Source organism: Homo sapiens, chromosome 16 (genome assembly GCF_000001405.40).
Source record: "Homo sapiens chromosome 16, GRCh38.p14 Primary Assembly".
Lineage (NCBI taxonomy): Eukaryota > Metazoa > Chordata > Mammalia > Primates > Hominidae > Homo > Homo sapiens.
The window spans coordinates 32,368,165-32,395,421 of NC_000016.10; the positions used below are offsets into that span (position 1 = coordinate 32,368,165).

General features: G+C 37.3%; 2 pseudogenes; one reads left to right on the top strand and one right to left on the bottom strand.

Moving 5' to 3' along the window:
• On the bottom strand, nucleotides 10,463–12,303 carry ACTR3BP3 (ACTR3B pseudogene 3; annotated as a pseudogene).
• SLC9B1P5 (solute carrier family 9 member B1 pseudogene 5) overlaps nucleotides 19,967–27,257 on the top strand; it is a 48,235-nt pseudogene continuing 40,944 nt past the window's right edge.

A 27,257-nucleotide genomic window follows, 5' to 3' on the forward strand; every position in this document is an offset into this window, starting at 1 on the left:
ATATTGAACCAGGCTTGCATCCCAGGGATGAAGCTGACTTGATAGTGGTGGATAAGCTTTTTGATGTGCTGCTGGATTCGGTTTGCCAGTATTTTATTGAGGATTTTTGCATTGATATTGATATTGGTCATCAGGGATATTGGTCTAAAATTCTCTTTTTTTTGTTGTGTCTCTGCCAGGCTTTGGTATCAGGATGATGCTGGCCTCATAAAATGTGTTAGGGAGGATTCCCTCTTTTTCTATTCATTGGAATAGTTTCAGAAGGAATGGTACCAGCTCCTCTTTGTATCTCTGGTAGAATTCGGCTGTGAATCCATCTAGTCCTGGACTTTTTTTGGTTGGGAGGCTAATTAATTATTGCCTCAATTTCAGAGCCTGTTATTGTTCTATTCAGGGATTCGACTTCTTCCTGGTTTAGTCTTGGGATGGTGTATTTGTCCAGGAATTTATCCATTTCTTCTAGATTTTCTAGTTTATTTGTGTAGAGGGGTTTGTAGTATTCTCTGATGGTAGTTTGTATTTCCATGTGATCAGTGGTGAAATCCCCTTTATCATTTTTTATTGCATCCATTTGATTTTTCTCTCTTTTCTTCTTTATTAGTCTTGCTAGTGGTCTATCAATTTTGTTGATCTCTTCAAAAAACCAGCTCCTGGGTTCATTGATTTTTTGAAGGGTTTTTTGTGTCTCTATCTCCTTCAGTTCTGCTCTGATCTTAGTTATTTCTTGCCTTCTGCTAGATTTCGAATTTGTGTGCTCTTGCTTCTCTAGTTCTTTTAATTGTGATGTTAGGGTGTCAATTTTAGATCTTTCTTGTTTTCTCTTGTGGTTATTTAGTGCTACAAATTTCCATCTACACACTGCTTTAAATGTGTCCCAGAGATTCTGATATGTTGGGTCTTTGTTCTCGTTGATTTCAAAGAACATCTTTATTTCTGCCTTCATTTCGTTATTTACCCAATAGTCATTCAGGAGCAGGTTGTTCAGTTTCCATGTATTTGTGTGGTTTTGAGTGAGTTTCTTAATCCTGAGTTCTAATTTGATGGCACTGTGGTCTGGGAGACAGTTTGTTGTGATTTCTGTTCTTTTACATTTGCTGAGCAGTGTTTTACTTCTAACTATGTGGTCAATTTTGGAATAAGTGAGATGTGATGCTGAGAAGAATGTACATTCTGTTGATTTGGGGTGGAGGGTTCTGTAGATGTCTATTAGGTCTGCTTGTTGCAGAGCTGAGTTCAAGTCCTGGAAATCCTTGTTAACATTCTGTCTCATTGATCTGTCTAATATTGACATTGGGGTGTTAAAGTCTCTCATTATTACTGTGTGGATGTCTAAGTCTCTTTGTAGGTCTCTAAGGACTTGCTTTAAGAATATGGGTGCTCCTGTATTGGGTGCATGTATAGTTAGGATAGTTAGATCTTCTTGTTGCATTGATCCCTTTACCATTATATAAAGGCTTTCTTTGTCTCTTTAATCTTTGTTGGTTTAAAGCCTGTTTTATCAGAGACTAGGATTGCAATCCCTGCTATTTTTTTCTTTCCATTTGCTTCGTAGATCTTCTTCCATCCCTTTATTTTGAGCCTATGTGTGTCTCTGCACGTTAGATGGGTCTCCTGAATACAGCACACTGATGTGTCTTGACTCTTTATCCAGTTTACCAGTCTTTGTCTTTTAATTGGGGCATTTAGCCCATTTACATTTAAGGTTAATATTGTTATGTGTGAATTTGATCCTGTCATTATGATGTTAGCTGGTTATTTTGCTCATTAGTTGATGCAGTTTCTTCCTAGGATTGATGGTCTTTACAATTTGGCATGTTTTTGTGTGGCTGGTACTGGTTATTCCTTTCCATGTTTAGTGCTTCCTTCAGGAGCTCTTGTAAGGCAGGCCTGGTGGTGACAAAATCTCTCATCATTTGCTTGTCTATAAAGGAGTTTATTTCTCCTTCGCTTATGAAGCTTAGTTTGGCTGGATATGAAATTCTGAGTTGAAAATTCTTTTCTTTAAGAATGTTGAATATTGGCCCCCACTCTCTTCTGGTTTGTAGGGTTTCTGCCAAGAGACCTGCTGTTAGTCTGATGTGCTTCCCTTTGTGGCTAACCCGACCTTTCTCTCTGGTTGCTCTTAACGTTTTTCCTTTCATTTCAACCTTGGTGAGTCTGACAATTATGTGTCTTGGTGTTGCTCTTCTTGAGGAGTATCTTTGTGGTGTTTTCTGACCCTAACATCACAATTAAAAGAACTAGAAAACCAATAGCAAACACATTCAAAAGCTAGCAGAAGGCAAGAAATAACTAAGATCAGAGCAGAACTGAAGGAAATAGAGACACAAAAAACCCTTCAAAAAATTAATGAATCCAGGAGCTGGTTTTTTGAAAAGATCAACAAAATTGATAAACTGCTGGCAAGACTAATAAAGAAGAAAAGAGAGAAGAATCAAATAGACACAATAAAAAATGATAAAGGGTATATCACCACTGATGCCACAGAAATACAATCTACCATCAGAGAATACTACAAACACCTGTACACAAATAAACTAGAAAATCTAGAAGAAATGGATAAATTCCTCGACACGTACACCCTCCCAAGACTAAACCAGGAAGAAGTTGAATCTCTGAATAGACCAATATCAGGCTCTGAAATTGTGGCAATAATCAATAGCTTATCAACCAAAAACAGTCCAGGACCAGATGGATTCACAGCCGAATTCTACCAGAGGTACAAGGAGGAACTGGTACCATTCCTTCTGAAACTATTCCAATGAATAGAAAAAGAGGGAATCCTCCCTAACTCATCTTATGAGGCCAGCATCATCCTGATACCAAAGCCTGGTAGAGACACAACCAAAAAAGAGAATTTTAGACCAATATCCTTGATGAACATTGATGCAAAAATCCTCAATAAAATACTGGCAAACAGAATCCAGCAGCATAGCAAAAAGCTTATCCACCATGATCAAGTAGGCTTCATTCCTAGGATGTAAGCCTTGTTCAACATATGCAAATCAATAAATGTAATCCAGCATATAAACAGAACCAAAGACAAAAACCACATAACTATCTCAATAGATGCAGAAAAGGCCTTTGACAAAATTCAGCAACACTTCATGCTAAAAACTCTCAATAAATTAGGTATTGATGGGACATATCTCAAAATAATAAGAGCTATCTATTACAAACCCACAGCCAATATCATACTGAATGGGCAAAAACTGGAAGCATTCCCTTTGAAAACTGGCACAAGACAAGGATGCCCTCTCTCACCATTCCTATTCAACATAGTGTTGAAAGTTCTGGCCAGGGCAATTAGGCAGGAGAAGGAAATAAAGGGTATTCGATTAGGAAAAGAGGAAGTCAAATTGTCCCTGTTTGCAGATGACATGATTGTATATCTAGAAAACCCCAGTGTCTCAGCCCAAAATCTTCTTAAACTGATAAGCAACTTCAGCAAAGTCTCAGGATACAAAATCAATGTACAAAAATCACAAGCATTCTTGTACACCAATAACAGACCAACAGAGAGGCAAATCATGGGTGAACCCCCATTCACAATTGCTTCAAAGAGAATACAATACCTAGGAATCCAACTTACAAGGGACATGAAGGACCTCTTCAAGGAGAACTACAAACCACTGCTCAATGAAATAAAAGAAGATACAAACAAATGGAAGAACATTCCATGCTCATGGGTTGGAAGAATCAATATTGGAAAAAAACTACTTTAAAGTTCATATGGAACCAAAAAAGAGCCCACATCGCCAAGTCAATCCTAAGCCAAAAGAACAAAGCTGGAGGCATCACACTACCTGACTTCAAAGTATACTACAAGGCTACAGTAACCAAAACAGCATGGTACTGGTACCAAAACAGAGATATAGATCAATGGAACAGAACAGAGCCCTCAGAAATAATGCCGCATATTTACAACTATCTGATCTTTGACAAACCTGACAAAAACAAGCAATGGGGAAATGATTCCCTATTTAATAAATGGTGCTGGGAAAACTGGCTAGCCATATGTAGAAAGCTGAATCTGGATCCCTTCCTTACACCTTATACAAAAATTAATTCAAGATGGATTAAAGACTTACATGTTAGACCTAAAACCATAAAAACCCTAGAAGAAAACCTAGGCAATACCATTCAGGTTATAGTCATGGGCAAGGATTTCATGTCTAAAACATTCTCCCCATCACTTTCAAGTACACCAATCAAACTTAGATTTGGTCTTTTCACATAGTCCCATATTTCTTGGAGGCTTTGTTCATTTCTTTTTACTCTTTTTCTCTAAACTTCGCTTCTCACTTCATTTCATTTATTTGATCTTCCATCACTGATACCCTTTCTTCCACTTGATTGAATCAGCTACAGAAGCTTTTGCATGCATCATTTAGTTCTTGTGCCATGGTTTTCAGCTCCATCAGGTCATTTAAGGTCTTCTCTATGCTGTTTATTCTAGTTAGCCATTCATCTAATCTTTGTTCAAGGTTTTTAGCTTCCTTGCAATGGGTTCGAACATCCTCCTTTAGCTCAGAGAAGTTTGTTATTACTGACCTTCTAAAGCATACTTCTGTCAACTCATCAAAGTCATTCTCCATCCAGCTTTGTTCCATTGCTGGCAAGGAGCTGCAATCCTTTGGAGGAGAAGCGGCGCTCTGTTTTTTTGAATTTTCAGCTCGTCTGCTCTGGTTTCCCCCCATCTTTGTGGTTAGATCTACCTTTGGTCTTTAATGATGGTGACCTACAGATGTGGTTTTGGTGTGGATGTCCTTTTTGTTGATGTTGTTCCTTTCTGTTTGCTAGTTTTCCTTCTAACAATAAGGACCCTCAGCTGCAGGTCTGTTGGAGTTTGCTGGAGGTCCACTCCAGACCCTGTTTTCCTGAGTGTCACCAGTGGAGGCTGCAGAACAGCAAATATTGCTGCCTGATCCTTCTTCTGGAAGCTTCATCTCAGAGGGACACCTGGCTGTATGAGGTGTCAGTAAGTCCCTACTGGCAGCTCTGTCCATTCTCAGAGTTCAAACTCCATGCTGGAGAACCACTGTTCTCTTCAGAGCTGTCAGACAGGGATGTTTAAGTCTGCAGAAGTTTCTGCTGCCTTTTACTCAGCTATACCCTGCCCCGAGAGGTGGAGTCTACAGAGGCTGCCAGGCCTCATTGAGCTGCAGTGAGCTCCACCTAGTTCAGGCTTCCCAGCTGCTTTGTTTACCTACTCAAGCCTCAGCAATGGTGGACGTCCCTCCCCCAGCCCAGGCTGCCACCTTGCAGTTCGATCTCGGACTGCTGCACTAGCAGTAAGCAAGGCTGTGTGGGCATGGGACCTACCAAGCCATACATGGGATATAATCTCCTGTGTGCCGTTTGCTAAGACCACTGGAAAAGCACAGTATTAGGGTGGGAGTGTCCAGATTTTCCAGGTACCGTCTGTCACGGCTTCCCTTGGCTAGGAAGGGAAATCCCCGACCACTTGTGCTGCTTCCCAGATGAGGCAACGCCCTGCCCTGCTTTGGCTCACCCTCTGTGGGCCGCACCCACTGTCCGACCCGTCTCAGTGAGATGAACCAGGTACCTCAGTTGGAAATACAGAAATCACCTGTCTTCTATGTCAATTATCCTGAGAGCTGCAGACAGGAGCTGTTCCTATTCGGCCATCTTGGAACGATCCTCTCTTTTCATTTATTTAAGAAATATTTGAAAAGCAAAGATTTCATCATTTTGGTGAAGTCCAATTTATCTGTTTTTCTTTTATGGAACATGTTTTTGATATTATATCTAAGAAACCTTTTCTTAGTCTGAGGTCATAAATATTTTCTCCTATTTTTTTTTCCTAGAAGTTTTACAGTTTTAGCTCATACAATTAGGTCTATGATCCATTTTAGTTAATTTTCGTATATGACCTAAGGATCTAGGTTTAGTTTTTGTAAATGAATAACCAGTTCTTATAGAATCATTTGTTGAAAGAACATCTTTCTCCTATTGAATTGTCTTAGCATCTTTGATGAAAATTAATTGACTATTTATGTGGGTTGGATTCTGAACTCCACTTAGTTCCATTGATCTATCTATCTCTCTTAATGTGGATTCTACACTGTCTTAACTACTGTTGCTTTACACTGAATTTTAAAATAAGGCAGTATTAAGTACTCTAACTTCATTCTTACTTAGCAAGATTGTTTTGGCTATTCTAGGTATTTTTGTATTTCTATATAATTTTAAAATCAGCGTGTCAATTTTTCCAATCTTTCTAGACTTTTGGCAGGAATTTCAGTTAATTTGTAGATCAATTGACATCTAACAATATTGAGTCATCTAATCCATTAACATGATATATCTCTCCATTTATTTAGGCATTTATCTGAGTGATGTTTTTTAGTTTTCAGTGCAAAGGTTTCACACTTATTTTGTTAAATTTATTCCTAATTATTATTGCTATAGTTTGAGTGTCTCTACCAAAACGCATGTTGGAACGCTTAAGAGGTAGGGCCTATTGGGAAGTGTTTGGGTCTTGGGAGCTCTTCCTTTGTGGGAAGCTTGGTACTATTCTTACACTGGTGAGTGAGTTCTCACTCTTGTGAGATTAGTTCTCTCAGGAATGGATTAGTTACCATGAGAATGAATTGCTATACGGTGAGGTCAGGCTTCATGCTTGGCCTCCTGGTACTTGCCTACTCCCCTTTGACCTTATTCTAACATGTTGTGACACAACACTAAAGCTTTCACCAGAACCCAAGCAGATGCCAGTGTCATTCTTTCCAGCCTGCAGAACTGCAAGCCAAATATACCTCTTTATAAATTACTCAGTCTCCGGTATTCTGTTACAGCAACACAAAACGGACTAAGACAGAAAATTGGTACTGAAAGTGGGATGTTGCTATTTAGATTTTCAAAAATGCAGAAGCATCATTGGAACTGGGTAATGCGCAGAAGTTGGAAAAGTTTGAAGGAGCAGACTAGAAGAAGACTGTATTGCCATAAACAGAGCATTAAGGATAATTTCAGTGAGGGCTCAAAAGACAACAAAAAGATGAGAGAAAGTTTAGAATTTCTCAGAGATTGGTTAAGTAGTCATTACCACAATGCTGATAAAAATATGGACAGCAAAGGCCATTCTAATGAGATCTCAGATAGAAATGAGGAACAAGGTATTAGGAACTGGAGACCAAGTCATCCTTGTTAGACCATAGCAAAAATTTGGCTGTGTTGTTTCTAAGGCTTTGTGCCCTAAGGTTTTGTGGAAGGCCAAACTTAAGAGTGATGAACTAGGGTACCTGGCAGAAGAAATTTCTAAGCAAAATATAGAGCAGCTATGTAGTTACTCCTTACTACATTCAGTGAAATGCAAAATGACAATGGAAGCAAACACAAAAATTTGAAAATTAATAGCCTGGCCATGTGGAAGAGAATGAAAGAGCATTTTCAGGTGAAGAATCCAAGGGTGCAGCAGAACAACCAATACTAAAGAGATTAGCACTGAGAGAAGAAAACCAGTTGACAATTATTGAGACAATTTTTTTAAAGGCCCTGAAGACATTTCAGAAATTTTTGAGGTTGCCTCTCCAGAGGTCTAGGAGGACAGAATGGTTTTAAGAGACAGAACCCATGCATCACTGCCCTGTGCTGTTTTGAGATCCTGCTCCCCAAATTCTGGCACAGCCCTCAGCAGCCACCCAACCCATGGCACAATCATACTCAGGTGTGGCTCAGGCTGCCATTCCACAAGATACAAACCATAAACCTTGGTGACACACAGTCATGGATCAAGCAGCCTCAGATACAGCTCATGACAGCACTCTGGAGGGTGCAAGCGGTAAGCCTTGATGGCTTTTACAACCTTGTGGTACTATTTTTGCAGATGTGCAGAATACAAGAGAAGTGGAGGCATGGTGGCTGCCACCTAGATTTTAAGGAATGTACTGAAAAGACTGGGAGCTCAGGTGGAGACTTGTTGCAGGGCCAGAGCCACTGCAGTGTACCTCCCCTAGGGCAAAGCTGAGGAGAAATGTAGGGTTGGAGCTGCCACAAAGAGTCTGTACCAGGGCAATGCCCAGTGAATCCACGAAGTGGACCACCACTGGGACTCCAGAACTATAGAGCCATTGCCACCATGCAACCTCAGCCTGGAAAGGCCACAGGTATCCAACTCCAACCAGTGAGAGTAGCCATGTGGCTATGCCCAACAAAGCAATGGAGGTGGGGCTGCCCAAGGCTTTAGGGATAAAAACTCCCCACTGTGCCCAGGAGGTAGCACATAGAGTGGAGAATTATTCTGGAGCTTTAAGATTTAGTGTATGCCCTGCTGAGTTTTGCACTTGCTCGAGGTCTGTCACCTCTTTCTTCTTTTGGCTTATTTCTCCCTTTTGGAATGGGACTGTCTGCCATATGACTATTCCACCATTGTATCTTGGAAGTAAATAACTTGTGTTTTTTTATTTTTATTTTTATTTTACAGGCTCATAGCTAGAAGGAATTTGCTTTGAGTCTTATATGAGACTTTGGGCTTTGACCTTTAAATTGTTACTGGAATAAATTAACACTTTGGGGACCATTGAGATTGAATAATTACATTTTGTAGTGTAAGAGGGACATGAGTTTGGGGTTCCAAGGGTGAAATGCCATGGTTTCCGTGTTTCTGTCAAAAATCATGTTGGAACCTTTAAGAGGTAGGGCCTAATGGGAGATGCTTGGGTCATGCGGGCTCTGCCATTTTAAGCAGCTTCGTGCAGTCCTCATATAGTGAGTGAGTTCTTGCTCTCATGAAACTGGATTGGTTCCTGTGGAAATAGATTAGTTGCCCTGAGAATGGATTGTTATAAAGCAACCCATTGTACAAGGTTGTACCTTGTGTTTGGCCTCTTGGCACTTTCCCACTTCCTCTTTGGTCTTCTGCCATGTTGTGATGCACTGCTAAAGCCCTCACCAGAAGCTAAGCAGATACTGGTGCCATGCTTCTTGAACTTCCCAGTCTGGAGAAACATGAGCTAAATAAACCTCTTCGTACAGTCTCAGGTATTCTATTATAACAACATAAAACAAACTAAGACATTTATTTTTGATGCTATTGTGATTGGAATTGTTTTCTTTATTTCATCTTTGTATTGTTTGTTGCTACTATATATATAACCAATTTTTGTATATTGATCATATACTCTACAAACTTACTAAGCCCCCCTCTTAGTTCTAGTAAGTCTGGGAGGGGGTGTGGTATGTGGGTGTGTGTGTGGGTGTGTTCCTTAGGATTTTCTGCATACAAGGCTAACAATAAAAAGAGTTGTCTTTTTTCCATACCTTTTTTCCTTGACTATTGCACAAACTAAGACCTGTGGTGCATTGTTAAATAGAAGTGGTAAACACAGATATCTTTGCATGTTTCCTAATCTAGAGGGAAGCACATTCTTACCATTAAATATGTTGGCTATAGGCTTCTGGTAGATGCCTTGATCATTTGAAGAAGTTCCCTTCTATTCATAAGTTGATGAGATTTTTTTTAATGTATGATTGTTGAATTCTGTCAAATGCTTTTCTGCATCTATTGAGGTGATCATATGGTTTTGTCCTTTATTCTGTTAATATAGTTTATTACATTGATTTTCGGATGTTAAGTCAACCTCACATTCCTGAGATAAACTTCATTTGATTATGGTATAAAATCCTTTTCATATGTTGCTCAATTACATTTGCTAATATTTGGTTAAGAATTTTTATGTCTAGGTTCACAAGGGATATTGGTATATAGCTGTGTTTGCTTGTAATGTCTTTGTCTTGTTTTGATATCAGGGTAATATTGATATCAAATGAAATAAGGTTAGTTGGGAAGTTTCCTTCATCCTCTATTTGCTGAATAAAGTTTTTGTAACATTGGTATTATTTCCTCCCTTAGTAGTTTGATAGAATTCACCAGTGAAGTATATTTTTTCTCTATAGGAAGATTTGAAATTACTGATGCAATTTCTTTACTTGATATTGGTATTTGTTTTTTTTTCTTTTTCCTTGAGTCAGTTTTGGTAATTTGTGTCTTTCAAGGAATTGTTCTATTTTATCTAAGTTGTCAAATTTTTTGCCTTAAAGTTATTATGCTATTTTCTTAACATCCTTTTAAGGGTAGGGTCTGTGGTGATATTTCTCTTTGATTCTTGATTTTGGGATTAGTGTCTTCTTTCTTTTTTCTTGGTCAATTTAACTAAATATTATTTATCTTCTTGACTTTCTGAAATAAGCAATTTTGGGTTTCTTTGGTTGTTTTTAACGTTATCCTGTTCTGTATTTCTCGTTTTCCACTGTGACATTTTTATTTCATACATCCTACTTACTTTCGGCTTGGTTTACTCATCTTTTTCTAGAGTCTTAAGATGGAAGTTTTGATTATCAATTTTAGATTATTTTTTCTTTCTGTTTTTAAAGCTATACATTTTCCTCTATACTCTGCTTTAATTGCATCCTGTAAATATTGCTATGTTTTTGGTTTTTTGTATTTTAAGTTTATAACATTTTATTTATAAAAATAGGCTGGGGGAAAAGGATTTATACCACTGCATTCTTTCCTGGGGGAGAACTATTTTGGGCCATTTTTGAAATTTTTTTTCCTCTTAACAATTTTCAGAGTCACATTTGAATTCCTTCAGAATGGTATTTGTCAACAAAAAAGTTCAAGTGAAAAGGAGGAGGGAAACTGGGGAAGCATGAAGAAAGGGAGTGAGAGAAGAAGGAGTGGGCATACAACAGTCAACACATAAAGAAATGGTTTTTACTGAAATGACTCTGCCCTGTGCCTCATGCACTAGGTGATGCAAGCATGCTGCTCAGACATCAACACCAAATGTCATTTAGAAATGGTAGTCTTCTCTGGGTTCTGAAGGACACTCATTCCCCAACATGACACTATTAAATGATGCTTTCAAGGCAGACACTAAGACATTACTCCAAAGAGAAGGCTCTGGTGGCAGATGCTGGGGCCATATTCTTTATAGTCCTTCTTGGTGTGACAGACCTGAAATAACTCCAGAGTTGAGGCTAGCATTAAGCTTCCAAACCATAAGGCATAGTGCTGCATGTGACGGATTACCACCCGGACCTCTGTAAGCTTAGGTTTGATTATCCTGCCACTGAGCTCCTTACTGAGTTTTAATCTGGCATGTACCACTCTTCAAATCTCTCTGTAGTTGAGATTCATATCCCTGAATATGGCCAAACCCCTTGAAAGAACAACATTCTTATACAGTGGACAATGCACATCAATGGGACAGTTTTGTATTCATCAACAATATTCAAGATGGATTCCATAAAGTCTGGGTTGGCAAACTCTGGGTAAAAAAATATTTCAGGTTGCAGGAGCCTTTTGTAACCAACGTCTATTATGAACTTCTCCTGGTTGATCACATTGATACCTGTGTACTGTTTGATCCACTTCCAGGGATCCACATCATACTTAGCAAATTCCTTGACTATATCAGGGCAAAAGTAACAGTATTTCTCCTTAATGGCTTTTGTGGTCTCCAGTGACTGCTCAAGAGGGATTCCTACCTCCCTCTCCCTTAGCAGTTGTTGAATGAAATACACAGTATCACCTACAATCAGGATGTGATTGATGCAGCTCTCAATTACATAACCTTCTACAACTGGGAGAACAAGGGTGACTCCATCTCCTTTGTCAATGACTGTACTCATTAACATATATTCACCCACTTGTTGAGATGTCCAAGATACTTCCAAGGCTAGTACATCCTGAACTGCAATGTAGAATCCTGGTACATTAAATAGTTCAAACATAATTTCTGCAAAAATGCTCTGTATTTTCTAGTGTATTCAGTGGAAGTTCTGTCATTAAAAAATAATGGTCCTCAGATTCTGCTCAAAGATATTTAAAAACCACTTGCTCCATGAACCTTTCCATAATATCCCAGTCTTCAGTGATTCCATGTCATATTGACCACTTTGTAGCATACATATTTATCAATGGCTTCATCCTGTATGAAAAAGTCAAGGTCATCAACTCCCTTCAACATTCTCCCTTGGGCTTTGTCAACTACCTTTGCTGACTCTCTGATAGAAATGCATAAAAGAATAGTAAACTATGGCTCAGTGTTGCCTGCATAGCCAAGCTCAGAATATCTACTGAGGTGATCACAGGGCTGAGACCCAGAGCAGTGGGTACAACTCAATCTCCAGGTGTGGGCTGGATGTCAGGGGCTGAGAGCAAGGCAATGGAGGAGCCAGGGTGGGCACTGAGTGGCTCTTACCTGATGCCACAGTCTGCCACACAGGAAGGCAGGAACCCCGCCATGCTTGGAATACACAACACTTAGCCCCACTGGCCACCCTGGAGCACCCTGCCACCATCCACTTGGCAACCCACTCACCCCATACACCCTGTCTCCTGTGTGTTTCCACTTTTATTCATTTTAAGATATATTGTAGATAGGTGCAGCAAACCACATGGCACGTGTATACCTATGTAACAAACCTGCACGTTCTGCACATGTATCCCAGAACTTAAAGTACAATAAATTTTAAAAAAGGAATATTTTAAAGGATCAACCTACTATTTGGCAGTCATGGAAATAGTGAATGGGAATTAAAGGGAAAAAATAAGTAAGCAAAGGAAGGGAGGAGGAAAGGGAAAAAGAAAGGAAAGAAAAGGAAAAGGGAAATACAAGAAAAGGAGACAAATAAATAAATAAATAAACAAATAAGTGACTGAAAGTCTGAGAGTCGGCAAATACTATTCAGACAACACCGACAAAATAGGCCTCTTGCTAAAAATAGCAGAATGCACAAAGTACAGGAGCATCCTGTCTGTCCTGAGAGGCTGGGGAGGTTTAGGAAAAGAGGCTGGGGAGATTTGAGACAGGTCTGAAGTATGTAGTCAGTTTTTGCTTAGTGGAAAAAGTAATCATGGGTGATTCAGAAAAAGGAAGATACTTACATAATAATTGTTTTGTACCTTTTTTTAGTCTTCTATTACTTTCATAAAATTATCTTTGCATCAAAAATTATTAACACTTTCAGGACTCCTTGTATGCAAAATTCTTTGAATTGCATTTCTTAATTTGTGATCACACTGGTAATTTATCTAGCACAATGAACTGAATGTGTGTCTTTACGTTTAAAGGGAAAAATAAAATTCAAAACAGCATATTTGATATAATTTATGATTAGATAATAGAGAAATATAAATTTTAATATAATTTTTAGAAAGTAAAACTTAGACCAGTCACGATGGCTCCTGCCTGTAATCCCAGCACTTTGGGAGGTTGAGGCGGGTGGATCACCTGAGGTCAGGAGTTCAAGACCAGCCTGACCAACATGGAGAAACCCTGTCTCTACTAAAAATACCAAATTAGCCAGTACTAACGATTCATGAGAAATCTGCCCCCATGATCCATTCACCTCCCAGCAGGACCTATCTCCAACTTTGGGGATTACAATTCAACATGAGATTTGGGCAGGGACACATATCCAAACTATATCAACAGAGTTTCATTGTGTTGCTCGGGCTAGTCTCAAACTCCTAGCCTCAAGCAGTACTTCTATCTCAGCCTCCCAACTACCTTTGGGGATTATAATAATCAATCATCTTCACTTTTTACAATCTACTTTGGTTTAGTAATTTTTACTTAATTCCAGTGTTATATAGCAACTTTGATCAATGTATCTCTTATATGCTATGAACTCAGCAGTATTGTTATAGTTATTGCCTATAATAATCAGATGATTTTTTTAAAAAAAGAGATGAAATCAGAATACACACACACACACACATACAATCTTTTTTTTTTTTTTTAAGACGGAGTTTCGCTCTGTCGCCCAGGCTGGAGTGCAGTGGCGCGATCTCGACTCACTGCAAGCTCTGCCTCCCGGGTTCACGCCATTCTCCTGCCTCAGCCTCCCGTGTAGCTGGGACTACAGGCACGCGCCACCATGCCCGGCTAATTTTTGTATTTTTAGTAGAGACGGGGTTTCACCATGTTAGCCAGGATGGTCTCGATCTCCTGACCTCGTGATCCGCCCGTCTCGGCCTCCCAAAGTGCTGGGATTACAGGCGTGAGCCACTGCGCCCGGCCCACATACAATCTTTTATACTTACAAATTTATTTACCATTTCCCGTGCCATTTATTCCTTATAGGTTCAAGTTGCCATCTGGTGTCATATCCTTTTATCTTAAAAGCATTTTCTTTAGTGTTTCTTTAGCAAGGATAAGTTCTCTTTATTTTTATTTATCTGGAAATGTCTTTATTTCAGCTCCATTTTTGAAGGATCATTTAAATGGATACAGAATTTTTAATTGACAGTTATTTTTCCCTCCACTTTTGAAATGTCGCTTCATAAGGCCTCCATTTTTTTCAGATAAAAATGCCAGTATTGATAATATTATTGTTCCCCTGTATGTGATAAGTCATCCCTTGCTACTTTCATGATTTTCTTATTATCCTTGGTTTTCACCAATTTGACAAGGATGGCTCTAGGTGTGAATCTCTTTGTGTTTATCCTACTTGAGATTTGTTGGACTTCTTATATCTGAAGATTAATGTTTTTCGTAGCATTTTTGAAGTTTTCAGACATTATGTTTTCAAATATTTTTCTGTCCTCTTATCTCTCTCTTCTCCTGGAATTCCCATTATGCATATGGTAGTGCTCTTGATGGTATCCCATAAGTTTCTGAGGATCTCTTTATTATCCTTCATTCTTTTTTCTTTTTGTTCTTCAGATTGATTAACCTCTACTGGTCTATCTTCAAGTTCACTGATACTTTCTTTCACAAGGTCAAATATGCTATTGAACCTCGTTAGTGATTTTTTCACTTTAACTGTTGTACTTTTCAATTCTAGATTCTATTTTTAAACATATTCTGTCTCCTTATTCATATTCTCTATTAGACAGCACATTATCATATTTTTAATTTGAACATATTTATAATATATACTTTCAAAACTTTCTTTCTAAATCCAATATCTGAATTGAGACAGTTTCTATTCACTGCTTTTTTTCCAGAGTATGAGCCATATTTTCCTGTTTCCTTACATGTCTGATAATTTTTAATTGAAAACTAAACACTTTAATTACACATTATAGCAAATCTGGATTTGGTTTTTATTTGTTATTGTCTTTGTTGTTGTTATGTTTTGGTAATTGGCCTATACTTGTGCTGTGTAATCCTTCTGCCCAGTGGTTTTCAGCATTGATGTCTTTTATATTGTGTTGTTGTTGTTATTGTTGTTTTAGCCTGTCTTTCTAGGGATTTCCTTTGTGTCTGTTGCATAGCTTGATTTTTGAGAGACATTATATTAAAGCTAGTAAGGCTTCCACTCTCTGCCAAATAATCTGTGGGTGGGTGGGTGAATGCATTCAAAGTTGCAATTAATACTCAAGTCTTACTTCATTTTTACTTTTTGTCATACTATCTTGAGTCTTTCCTGCACTTCCATACTTTTCCAATCGGCAATACGTGTGGAGAACTTTTCTCAAACTTTTTATGATTCTCTCCTTTCCAGGATTTCTCTCTCTCTCTCTTTTTTTTTTTTTTTTTAGTAATACTCAGGTTTTTAATTTATTATAGTGAATGGATACAAAGCAAAATTAGCAAAGGGAAAAAGTTGTATGTGGTAAAGTCTGGAGGATACCAGGCATGAGCTTCCTGGAATCATCTCCTGTGGAGTTACAAGGATGTGTTTCTCTTTCCCAGCATGAAATTTTGACAGCACATGTGCAATGTCATCTACCAGGACCAGAGTCTCATTAGAGACTCAGTTCTCAGGATTTTACGGAGGTTACTCTCCTTCACATGTACCAGAATTCCAGACTCTCAGAGGAAAAGCAGCTGTTCAGAGTAAACCACATTGTTTGTATAAACAGTTTAGGCATAGTGAGCCACTCTTCTCAGTGAGAGAATTGGAACTTGGAACTGGAAAACTCTAGCCTAGCATGTGGGTCTTTCTTTTCTTTCTTTCTTTCTTTCTCTTTCTTTCTTTCTTTCTTTCTTTCTTTCTTTCTTTTTTCTTTCTTTCTTCTTTCTTTCTCTCTTTCTCTCTCTCTCTTTCTTCCTCTTTCTTTCTTTGTTTCTTTCTCTCTTTCTTTCTTTCTTTCTTTCTTTCTTTCTTTCTTTCTTTCTTTCTTTCTTTCTTTCTTTCTTTCACTTTGAGTTCCAGGATACATGTGCAGAACATTCAGGTTTGTTACACAGGTATACATGTGCCATGGTGGTTTGCTGCATCTATTGACCCTCAGGATCTCTCACTTAAATTTTTGTCTTGTCTTCCACTTCCCCAGTTGAAACTGCAACCTCAGACTAGCAAATCTGCAATTCTCTCTGTTCATTCCCAAACCACTCTGCTATATTTAACTGGCAAAACCATTGATTTCTTCCCTCTGCTCCATACCAAATCCACCCGTGCCCCCAGCCCTAACAGGAAAGCTGCTGGGTTTTACATCCAGCTTCAAACTGGTAAAACTACAGTTTTCCCCAACTGAGCTTGGGGGTGAGAAGAGAGATGGGAGTGTATTAGTCTGTTTTCATTCTGCTAATAAAGACATACCCAAGACTGGGAAGAAAAAGAGGTTTAACTGGACTTATAGTTCCAGGTGGCTGAGGAGACCTCAGAATCATGGCAGGAGGTGAAAGGCACTTCTTACATGGTGGTGGCAAGAGAAAATGAGGAAGTTGCAAAAGCGGAAACCCCTGATAAAGCCATCAGATCTTGTGAGACTTATTCACTACCACGAGAACAGTATGGGGGGGAACCACCCCCATGATTCAATTATCTCCCACGAGGTCCCTCCCACAACACATAGGAATTATGGGAGTATAATTCAAGATGAGATTTGGATGGGGACACAAAGCCAAACTATATCAGGGAGAAACCCCCGTCAGGAAGGGCTCAGACTTTTACCAATCCTACCCAAAACCCTAACACTTTTTTCAAGAATAAATGCTTCTTAAATTTGATAACTGCCTTTGATGAGTTTTCAGGGTCCTGAAATTATTGTTTTTGGTATTTCTGCAATTTTTGGGGGGAGTTTTGGTGTGGAAATAAATTGCCAACCTTTTCATGTCACTTCCCAACCTTATCTTTATATCCTCTGATTAACAATTTTCATTAGTAATGTGTTACACAACAAATACTTGTTTAGACTAACCTACATTTTACCAATTTCTTTGCACATTGTTCCATCTTTTCTGGTTCTATGTCATATTTCTAAAGCATATCTTTCAGTAGATTTTTCCCTGGTAAAAAATGGCATATGTTCTTAAATGTATTTGTTTGACAATATCTTTCATTTGTCTTTTGTTCGAGTGACAGTTAACTGGCTACAGAATTCAGCACTGAATGTTTTATTTATCTCTGTACTTTGAAGACTTTATTTAATTATCTTCCAACTTCTATTGTTGCTAAGAATTGAGAATCTGCTCTATTGTTTATTCAATTATGATTAATCTCTCTTTCTCTGTCTAGATTATTTAAGATTTTATTTTTGCCTTTGGTAGTCTATAGTTTCTCAACATTTTATCTAAGTATCTATTTTTACTTAATCATGATTAGAACTCATTTGACTTCCTGTGTCCAAATCAATAAAAACCCTAATCAATTCTGTAAAATTTGAAGCCAGTTTTCTTCTCAAATATTATATCTTCTTCATTCTTTCAATGGATGTTTCTGAAACTACCATTAGTTGTGTTTTAGATCTTTTCCATAATCTAAATCTCTCATTTTCCACCTCGTTTTTTTGTGTGTGTGCTATGCTCTTAAATAATTTCCTCATATCTACTACTTTGCTGTGTTCTCTCTTCAGCTTTGCCTAGATTGCTATTTGGGTACTTAGTGGGTTTTTTTCAGTTGAGTAAATTTTAAAGTTTTTTCTAGATGTTCTATTTAATTATTTTACAATACTTTCAAGTAATTTCTTCTTCTCATGTCTCCAATTTTTAAAAATTTTCTCTAGTCCCTTAGAAAATACATATTTTATAGTGTCTATCTAGTGGTTCTATTAGCTGAGGTTTTTAGACATCTAATCCCATTCTTTATTGTATCTGTTAACTTTTGCTCATGGGATATTTCTTCTTATTTTAAGTTCAGATTCACTTGGCTTTACCTTTGAGACTTTATGCAGTCTGGGATCAGGTGTGTCTATTAGAGATTTTTTGAATTAGCATCTACTAAGTTTTCTAGGGATACTTCAATGCAGGGACACTTTTATGGTAGGTTTAGAACTTTGGGATCCCTAACCTGTGCACGTAATGTAATTTGAGCCCTACGCATAAGTTGGATGAGGCCAGTTTTACATATGAATTCTCAAAAAAGACTTTGCCACCCAGAGACCAGCTAAGACAAACTGCCTTGTCTTCTCAATTTGTCAGTAGGATGACATTTTCTGGTCCGTGTTTTTTATTTTTGTTTTTTGTTTTGTTTTGTTTTCTTGAGATGGAGTTTTGCTCTTGTTACCCAGGCTGGAGTGAAGTGGCGCCATCTCAGCTCACTGCAATGTCCGCCTCCTGGGTTCAAGCAATTCTCCTACCTCAGCCTCCCAAGTAGCTGGGATTACAGGCATGCACCAACAGGCCAGGCTAATTGTCTCTATTTTTAATAGAGACGGCTTTTCACCGTGTTGGTCAGGCTCATCTTGAATTCCTGACCTCAGGTGATCCACCCGCCTCGGCCTCCCAAAGTCCCGGGATTACAGGCGCGAGCCACCATACCCAGCCTGGTCCATTATTTTAGTAAGAGTTTAGCTCTCCAAGGCTTCCAGTTTTGCAGGATGACAATAATCAGAGGGGAGGAGGAAAAAAACTTTGTTCTAACTTTCTGCCTGGAGTGAGTCAAAATCCTCCTCCTCTACCCTGGCAAATTCTATACAGCCAGAAAGGGTCCATAGCTAAAAAGTTCATGTAAGCTGTTTTAAGAATATTAAAAGCATTAGCAATTATGATTCATAGCAAATAAAGGTAGCCATTTAATTAGCAAATGGAAATTTACCATGTTATTGTCTGTCCTTTACAGAAACCTGTGGATTCCTCAGTGAGTAGCACCTAGTTGTCAGAAACAAGATGTCTAGTAACTTATACCTACTCATCTTAATCTACCTCTACCTCCTACACATAATCTAAAATACTTTATATTTATTCCCACAAAATCTAGGTTCATTTCTTCCAGCCATTTCCTCCTATAATACATTTATGCCAAATATCAGTTGAATTATCCTTTCAATAAAAAGATTTAGCAGGTTCCTGTTAAAAGATTTGGCACCTTGACACTGTGATCTTCAATAATGTTGTGAATTCTTATCACAGCCAATCATCCTCTTATTTTCCATCCTGATGAAAAAGCTATTTTAAAATATAAAATGAAGTAAATCTCATCATATTGCCATGATGTTTTTAACTATCATATATTATAAGTTAACATTTTCAAGAGTTCACATATAGGTTTTTTTAAATTTTTTTAATTTTTTTATTGAGACTGAGTCTCACTCTGTCACCCAGGCTGGAGTGCAGTGGCACAATCTTGGCTCACTGCAACCTCCACCTCCTGGGTTCAAGCAATTCTCCTGACTCAGCCTCCCATATAGCTGGGATTACAGGCACGCACCACCACGCCTGGCTAATTTTTGCATTTTTAGTAGAGACGGGATTTCACTGTGTTGGCCAGGCTGGTCTCAAACTCCTGACCTCATGTGATCCAGCCCACCTCAGCCTCCCAAAGTGCTGGGATTAAGGCGTGAGCCACTGCACCTGGCCCACATATAGTTTTTAAATATTTTTAAAGTGAAAACACTTTGTTTAAAACCTACTTCATAAATTGACAGGTTATTTGGAATATATGTTAAGCAGATATCTCTTTCACCAAACTAGTAAGCAATGTTGATCTATACCATGTATCATTTTATAGAACTGGCTATTAGTATATATGATAAAAGAGAATTGATCATTTGTTTGTATACATCTATGTGTATATAGATATATAGCTGTACACTTTTTTGTATTTCAGGAGTTACACTGTTTGTGATATGGTGTATGACCTGGTCAATCTTAGGCTCTGAAGCTCTCCCTAGTGGAAATTTATTTGGATTGTTAATTATTTTTTATAGTGCCATTATTGGGGGAAAAATTTTACAACTCATTAGAATACCTTTAGTGCCTCCACTTCCACCTCTTCTTGGTAAGTATATAATTAGCTCTCTTTTCTTTATTATTGATTATATGCAAATTTTGAACATTTTCTTGTTGAATTAGTTATAATTCAGAAATATTTCAATGTAGTATGTTTTATATAGTTTCTTCATGTGTGTATTTGCTGTATGTGTGTGTGTGTGTGTGTGTATAGCTCTTTTATAGGGGCATTTATTTCTCTCTCTGTCTACATATATACACACACAAGTTTTATCCAAAATTTATTTTAAAAATAAATTTAATATCCTTAGTACATTATTCCTGTTGCTTTATTGTTTAATAGAATCTTTAAAAATTTTAGATTCACGGAGTACATGTGCAGGTTTGGTACATGGATATGTTGCATAATGGTGAGATTTGGGCTCTAGTGAACCCATCATCAAACAGTGAATACTATACCCAATAGGAAATTTTTCAACCTTAACTCTCCAACCCTCTCTCCTTTTGGACTCCTCAGTGTCTATTATTTCCATCTTTATGTCCATATGTACCCATTGTTTAGCTACCACATATAAGTGAGAACATGTGGTATTTGAGTTTTCTGTTTCTGAGTTATTTCACTTAGGATAATGGTGTTCAGCTCTATCCATGTTGCTACAAAGGATATGATGCCATTCTTTTTTATGACTGCATAGTATTCCATGGTGTATATGTAACACATTTTCTTTATTTAGTCATTTAAGTTGATTCCATGTCTTTTTATTGTGAATAGTGCCACAATGAACATATGTGTGTATATGTCTTTATGGAAGAATGATTCACATGTTGAACCATCCTTGTATTTCTGGAGTAAAACCCACTTAACTATATTATCTCTTTGATGTACTATTGAATTGATTTTGCTAGTTGAGAATTTTTGCATCTCTGTTCATCAGGGATATTGACCAGTAGTGTGTGTGTGTGTGTGTGTGTGTGTGTGTGTGTGTGTGTGTGGCTTTGCCTGATTTGGGTATAATTGTGATACTAGATTCGTAGAATGTGTTAGGGAGGGAGTCCCTCCTTGATTTTTTTGGATTAAGTTTCAGTCACCTTTGACCCTGAACTAGTATTCTAGTGGATTGTACAATGACCCTGAACTAGTGGATTGTACAATGAATAAATGAATGAATATAAATTATTGCAAAATAAAATTTTGTTAAGTATATGATAACCATACAAATGCAAGACAATAAACAATGTGATGTGAAAACTCTCAGCCAGCCTACCATATTTGTGTTTGTTTTTGAACTGTATAGTGGGAGGAGGTGCTCCTTACAATTTTCACTTTGTAAACATTTATTCTTTGATTTTAACCATCACTGCTATAACCACCGTCACTCGTGGATTCATCAAAAATTAAGTAAAGAATTATCTTATTTATTTTATAAAACTTTGTAAAATGTATGTAGAGCTCAAATTTATTTCATTGTTTAATACTAGAAGTGTTTTGGATCTTTATTTAGAAGTTTGATGATGTTTTGTGACCAGAAATATGCTGTAGGAAATTGACTCTTGTTCATATCATTTAGACTATGCTAAAATTGGTTTTATTATATACCATTTTACTCAAAGTTGCCATTTCCAATCACCTATCGACGATGCTGAGTGAGAACTTACTGTATTCAAATATATCTAAATATTCAGTACAGTGGGCCAGGCATGGTGACTCATGCCCATAATCCCAGCAGTTTGGGAGGCCAAGGCAGGAGGATCACCTGATCCCAGGAGTTCAAAACCAGCCTGGGCAACATAGCAGACCTTGTCTTTACAAAATATTAAAAATTTTTCTGGGTCTCAGCTACTCAGGAGGCTAAGGCAAGAGGATCACTTGACCTCAGGAGGTTAAGCCTACAGTGAGCCATGTTTGCATCACTGCACTCACCTTGGGCAACAGAATGAGACCCTGTCCCCAAAAATAAATATATATTCAGTACACTGTCAGTAGAGATAATCTCTACATCTTATCCCTGCTGTCCCTTCTGTATCCACAGTTTTCTTGCAGCACCTTCTAAGTATTTATTGAATCATTTTCCTCCTCTCCAAACTTTCTCTTTTGCTCTAGCTTAGGCTATTTGTTTCCAACTTTTGCGTGGACTGTGACGGAGCCTTCAATTTGGTCTCTGTCTCCAGTTTTATCCCTAACTAATTCACCAAGACCCTCATATAAAAATCGCAAGACTCATTATATTACTTCCTGCCTAAAACCTTCCCATGGTGCCTTACTTTGCCAAAGTGGGGGGAGACCTTTCTATGATCTGGCCCACCAAGCTCATTCTCCTCCCTCCTTTCCTTGCCCTGTATGTTCCAGCAACACTAAATTACTTGTTGAACCCCATTTAGGTGTATTGTTTATCGCCATTCCTTTATTCATGCTGCCTTCTCTACTTGCTTGTAACCTGCCCTTTACCAAAATAATGAGAGACATAGTGCATTAGAAAATAAAGTAAACATTTCTGTTTTCTTTCTCAGAAAAATGAACTGTCATGTATGTTTATTTTCTTTCTTTTAAGGGATGTTACTGGCTGGATTTACAATTAGGAATGTTCCATTCATCAGTGAACACGTCCATGTTCCTAACGCATGGTCTTCAATTTTAAGAAGCATTGCCCTTAACATTATTCTAATACGAGCTGGGCTTGGACTCGATCCACAGGTAGATTTACAATTACAAATCGAGTAAGGTTATTTCAAATATTAGAGGATGGTGAGAAAGAAAAAGAAGCAAAAATTGTATTTACCTGTTCCAAGTGGAGTCTGTAAACAAACCTAAGATAAAGAAAAAAAGGCCGGGCATGATGGCTCATGCCTGTAATCTACAAAAATTAGCCGTGCATGGTGGCATTTACCTGGTAATCCCAGCTACTCGGGAGGCTGAGGCAAGAGAATCGCTTGAACCTGAGTGACAGAGGTTGCAGTGAGCTGAGATAGTGCCACTGCAATCCAGCCTGGGGGACAGAGTGAGACTCCGTCTCAAAAAAAAAACAAAACAAACGTTTTATAAGAAAAACTTTATACAATTCTTTTTCTTTTTTTAGGGAGATTAAGGATTTCAGTAATTTTTTATGACGTTTTCTCTACAGGATTATGTTCCTGATTATCTTTGCATTATTGTAAAATCTAATCTTTTAAAGCATTTCTTAAAATATTACATGCTAGGGATCATAAATCCCATCTATAAGAAGATGACTATTCATGAATGTGACAGCCACTCAAATAAATGTGGCAAATGTGGTTTAATAGAAATAGCTCAAGAGCATAAATAATTATAGCCAATGAGATTATATTCTCCAGCAGAAAGTATGAACCAAGGAGAAAATTGAAAAGTTCTCCCTTTTAAAATGAATTATGCAGTTTTTAAGTTATTTTCTTTGGCATGTTAGTGTTGTATTTATACTTATTAAGTTAATCAAAGAGTTCATATCAAAAAGTTAATGGGAAAACACTACAAGGACACTATTATTATACTATGTATTAGGAAAGTTCAGGAAGGTAGCATTAGCTATTTAATCACAGTAAAATTAATATTTTAATAATTAAAATACAATAATATTTTATAAAAGATGAAATTGTTTATAATCCAACATATGATGACTTATAAAATATAATAGAGATCAAAGTCCAGTGGGGCAATCTGTTGAAATGAGATTTTGTTTAGTGAAAGCTTCTTATGAAAAAAGACTTTATAGTCCAACATTTGTTAAAATAATTTTCTTGTTGGCCACTGTAAATGCATCAAATGTGACTGTTTTGTGTTTCAGGCTTTGAGACATTTGAAGGTGGTTTGTTTCAGATTGGCTGTAGGTCCATGCCTTATGGAGGCAAGTGCAGCTGCTGTTTTTTCCCACTTCATTATGAAATTTCCCTGGCAATGGGCAATTCTATTAGGGTAATTTCTTTCTCATTTTTTCTTATGAAAATATTCAATTAAGGATGCTTGTTTAAAACTGTTAAAACATTCAGAATATTGTATAGAAAATCTCTATTAAAATTCATTTCACAGTGTTAAAATCCTTGGAAAGCAGTTGATTAAAAGCAGAGAATGTCCCAAATTGCACGAAATTTTTTTAACAAACATTCATAGCCCCTAAATGTTTATCATAAAGAAAATTCACGTGATCAATTTATTCCTTTTCATCTGTATTATAACATATCTGTATGTTTTAGTCTATCTAATGGCCTCTTCCTCATAGCTATATGTAAATACAGTTGCACATTTCATATATATGTATGTGTGTATATATATATTTGAGAAACATTTTATATAGACATAGGTGTATAAATATAAACTCTCCCATTTTAAAGAAAGCAAGCAAACAAAATCTCTTGCCGTATATCCAATGCCCCATCCATCTTTATTTACCATCCATTTATCTTATGTTTGAATTCCTCAAAATAAGTCTATAACTACTGTCTCTAGATCCTAACTCCTTTTCATTTCTTAATTCATCAACTTTTGTCTCTGCTTATCCATTCCAATGACACTCATAGCAAAGTTCATCCATTACATAGTTACTACAAAATCCAGTGAATTTTTAAATTAATGTTTATGATTAAATACTCAAATGCACTTTTATTTTAAAAATTAGAACTTTATAAATAAAGGAGGAATGACCTTAAACTATGCCTTCAAATCATAATGCCTGTAACTCTACCCAAAGTGACAACTCTTAGGAGTTTTTTTCTTCTCCAATTTTTATTTTGGCTCAAGGGGTACATGAGCAGGCTTGTTATATGGATAAATTGCATGTCACAGGGATTTGGTATGCAGATTATTTTGTCACCCAGGTTGTAAGTATAATACCCAATAGGTAGTTTTTCTATTCTCCCCCTCCTTCCACCCTCCACCCTCAAATTCACCTAGTGACGATTGTTCCCTTCTTTCTGTCCATGTGTACTCAGTGTTTAGCTCCCACTTATAAGTGAGAATATGGGATATTTGGTTTCCTGTTCCTGTGTTAATTCACTTTGCGTATTGGCCTCAACTCCATCCACGTTGCTCCAAAGGACATGATCTCGTTCTTTCTTATGGCTGTGTATTATTCTATGGTGTATATGTGCCACATTTTCTTTATCTAGTTCACCATTGATGGGCATTTAGGTTGATCTCTTGTCTTTTTTATTTTTTTCATTAGTTTTTAAGGAACAGGTGGTGTTTGTTTACATGGAAAATATTTTTAGTGGTAATTTCTGAGATTTTGGTGCACCCATCACCAGAGCAGTGTACACTGCACCCAAGGTGTAGTCTTTTATCCCTCACCCTCCTCCTACTCTTCCCCCTAAGTCCCCAAAGTCCATTGTATCATTCTTATGCTTTTGCATCCTCATAGCATAACTCCCACTTATAAGTCAGAACATACAATGTTTGGTTTTTTCATTCCTGAATTACTTCACTTAGAATAATGGTGTCCAACTCCTTCCAGGCTGCTGTGAATGCCATTATTTCATTCCTTTTTATAGCTGAGTAGTATTCCGTCCATGGTCTGTGTGAGTATATATATACACACATACACACATATACACACATATATATGTGTATATACACATATATACATATATACACATATATGTGTGTGTGTATATACACATATATATATACACCACATTTTCTCTATGCATTCATTGATTGATGGGCATTTGAGCTAGTTCCATATCTTTCACAATTGCAAATTTTGCTGCCAAAAACGTGTGTGCAAGTGTTTTTTTCATATAATGACTTCTTTTCCTCTGGGTAGATACCCAGTAGTGGGATTGCTAGATCAAATGGTAGATCTACTTTTAATTATTTAAGAAATCTTCATACTCTTTTCCATAGTGGTTGTACTAGTTTACATTCCCCCCAGCAGTGTAAAAGTGTTCCCTTTTTACCACATCCATGGCAACATCAATTTTTTTTAATTTTTTGATTATGACTCTTCTTGGAGGAGTGAGATGGTATCGCATTTTGGTTTTGTTTGCATTTCCCTGATAATTAGTGATATTGAGGATTTTTTCATGTTTCTTGGCCATTTATATCTTCTTTTGGGAAGTGTCTATTCATGTCCTTAGCACACTTTTTGATAGGATAAATTGTTTTTTTCTTGCTGATTTGAGTTCCTTATAGATTTTGGATATTAGTACTTTGTTGGATGCATAGTTTGTAAAGATTTTCTCCCACTCTATAGGTTGTCTTTTTACTCTGCTGATTATTTCTTTTGCTGTGTAGAAGCTTCTTAGTTTAATTAAGTCCCATCTATTTATCTTTGTTTTTGTTGCCTTTGCTTTTGGGTTCTTGGTCATGAAGTCTTTGCCTAAGCAAATGTCTAGAAGGGTATTTCCAATGTTACCTTCTAGAATTTTTATAGTTTTAGGTGTTAGATTTAAGTCTTTGATCCATCTTGAGTTGATTTTTGTATAAGGTGAGAGATGAGGATGCAGTTTCATTCTTCTACATATGGCTTGCCAAATATCCCAGCACCGTTTGTTGAATATGGTGTCCTTTCCCAACTTTATGTTTTTGTTTCCTTTGTTAAAGATCAGTTGGCTTAAGTATTTGGCTTTATTTCTCGGTTCTCTATTCAGTTCCATTAGTCTATGTGCCTATTTTTATACCAGTATTATGCTGCTTTGGTGACTATAGCCTTATAATATAGCTTGAAGTCAAGCAATGTGATGCATCCACATTTGTTCTTTTTGCTTAGTCTTACTTTCATTATGCGGACTATTTTTGGCTTCCACATGAATTTTAGGATTGCTTTTTCTAGCTGAGGGAAGAGTGATGATGTAGATTGCTTTTGGCAGTATGGTCATTTTCACAATATTGATTCTACCTATCCATGAGCATGTGATGTGTTTTTATTTGTTTGTATCATCTATGATTTCTTTCTGCAGTGCTTTGTAGTTTTCACTGTAGAGGTCTTTCACCTCCTTGGTTAGGTATATTCCTAAGTTGGTTTGCTTGGGGTTTTTTTCTTTGGTTTTGTTTGTTTGTTTTGGTTTTTTTGTAGCTGTTTTAAAAGGGGTTGAGATCTTGATTTAATTCTCAGCTCAGTCACCGTCAGTGTATACCAGTGCTACTGATTTGTGTACATTGATGTTGTATCCTGAAACGTTACTGAACTCATTTATCAGATCTAGGAGCTTTTT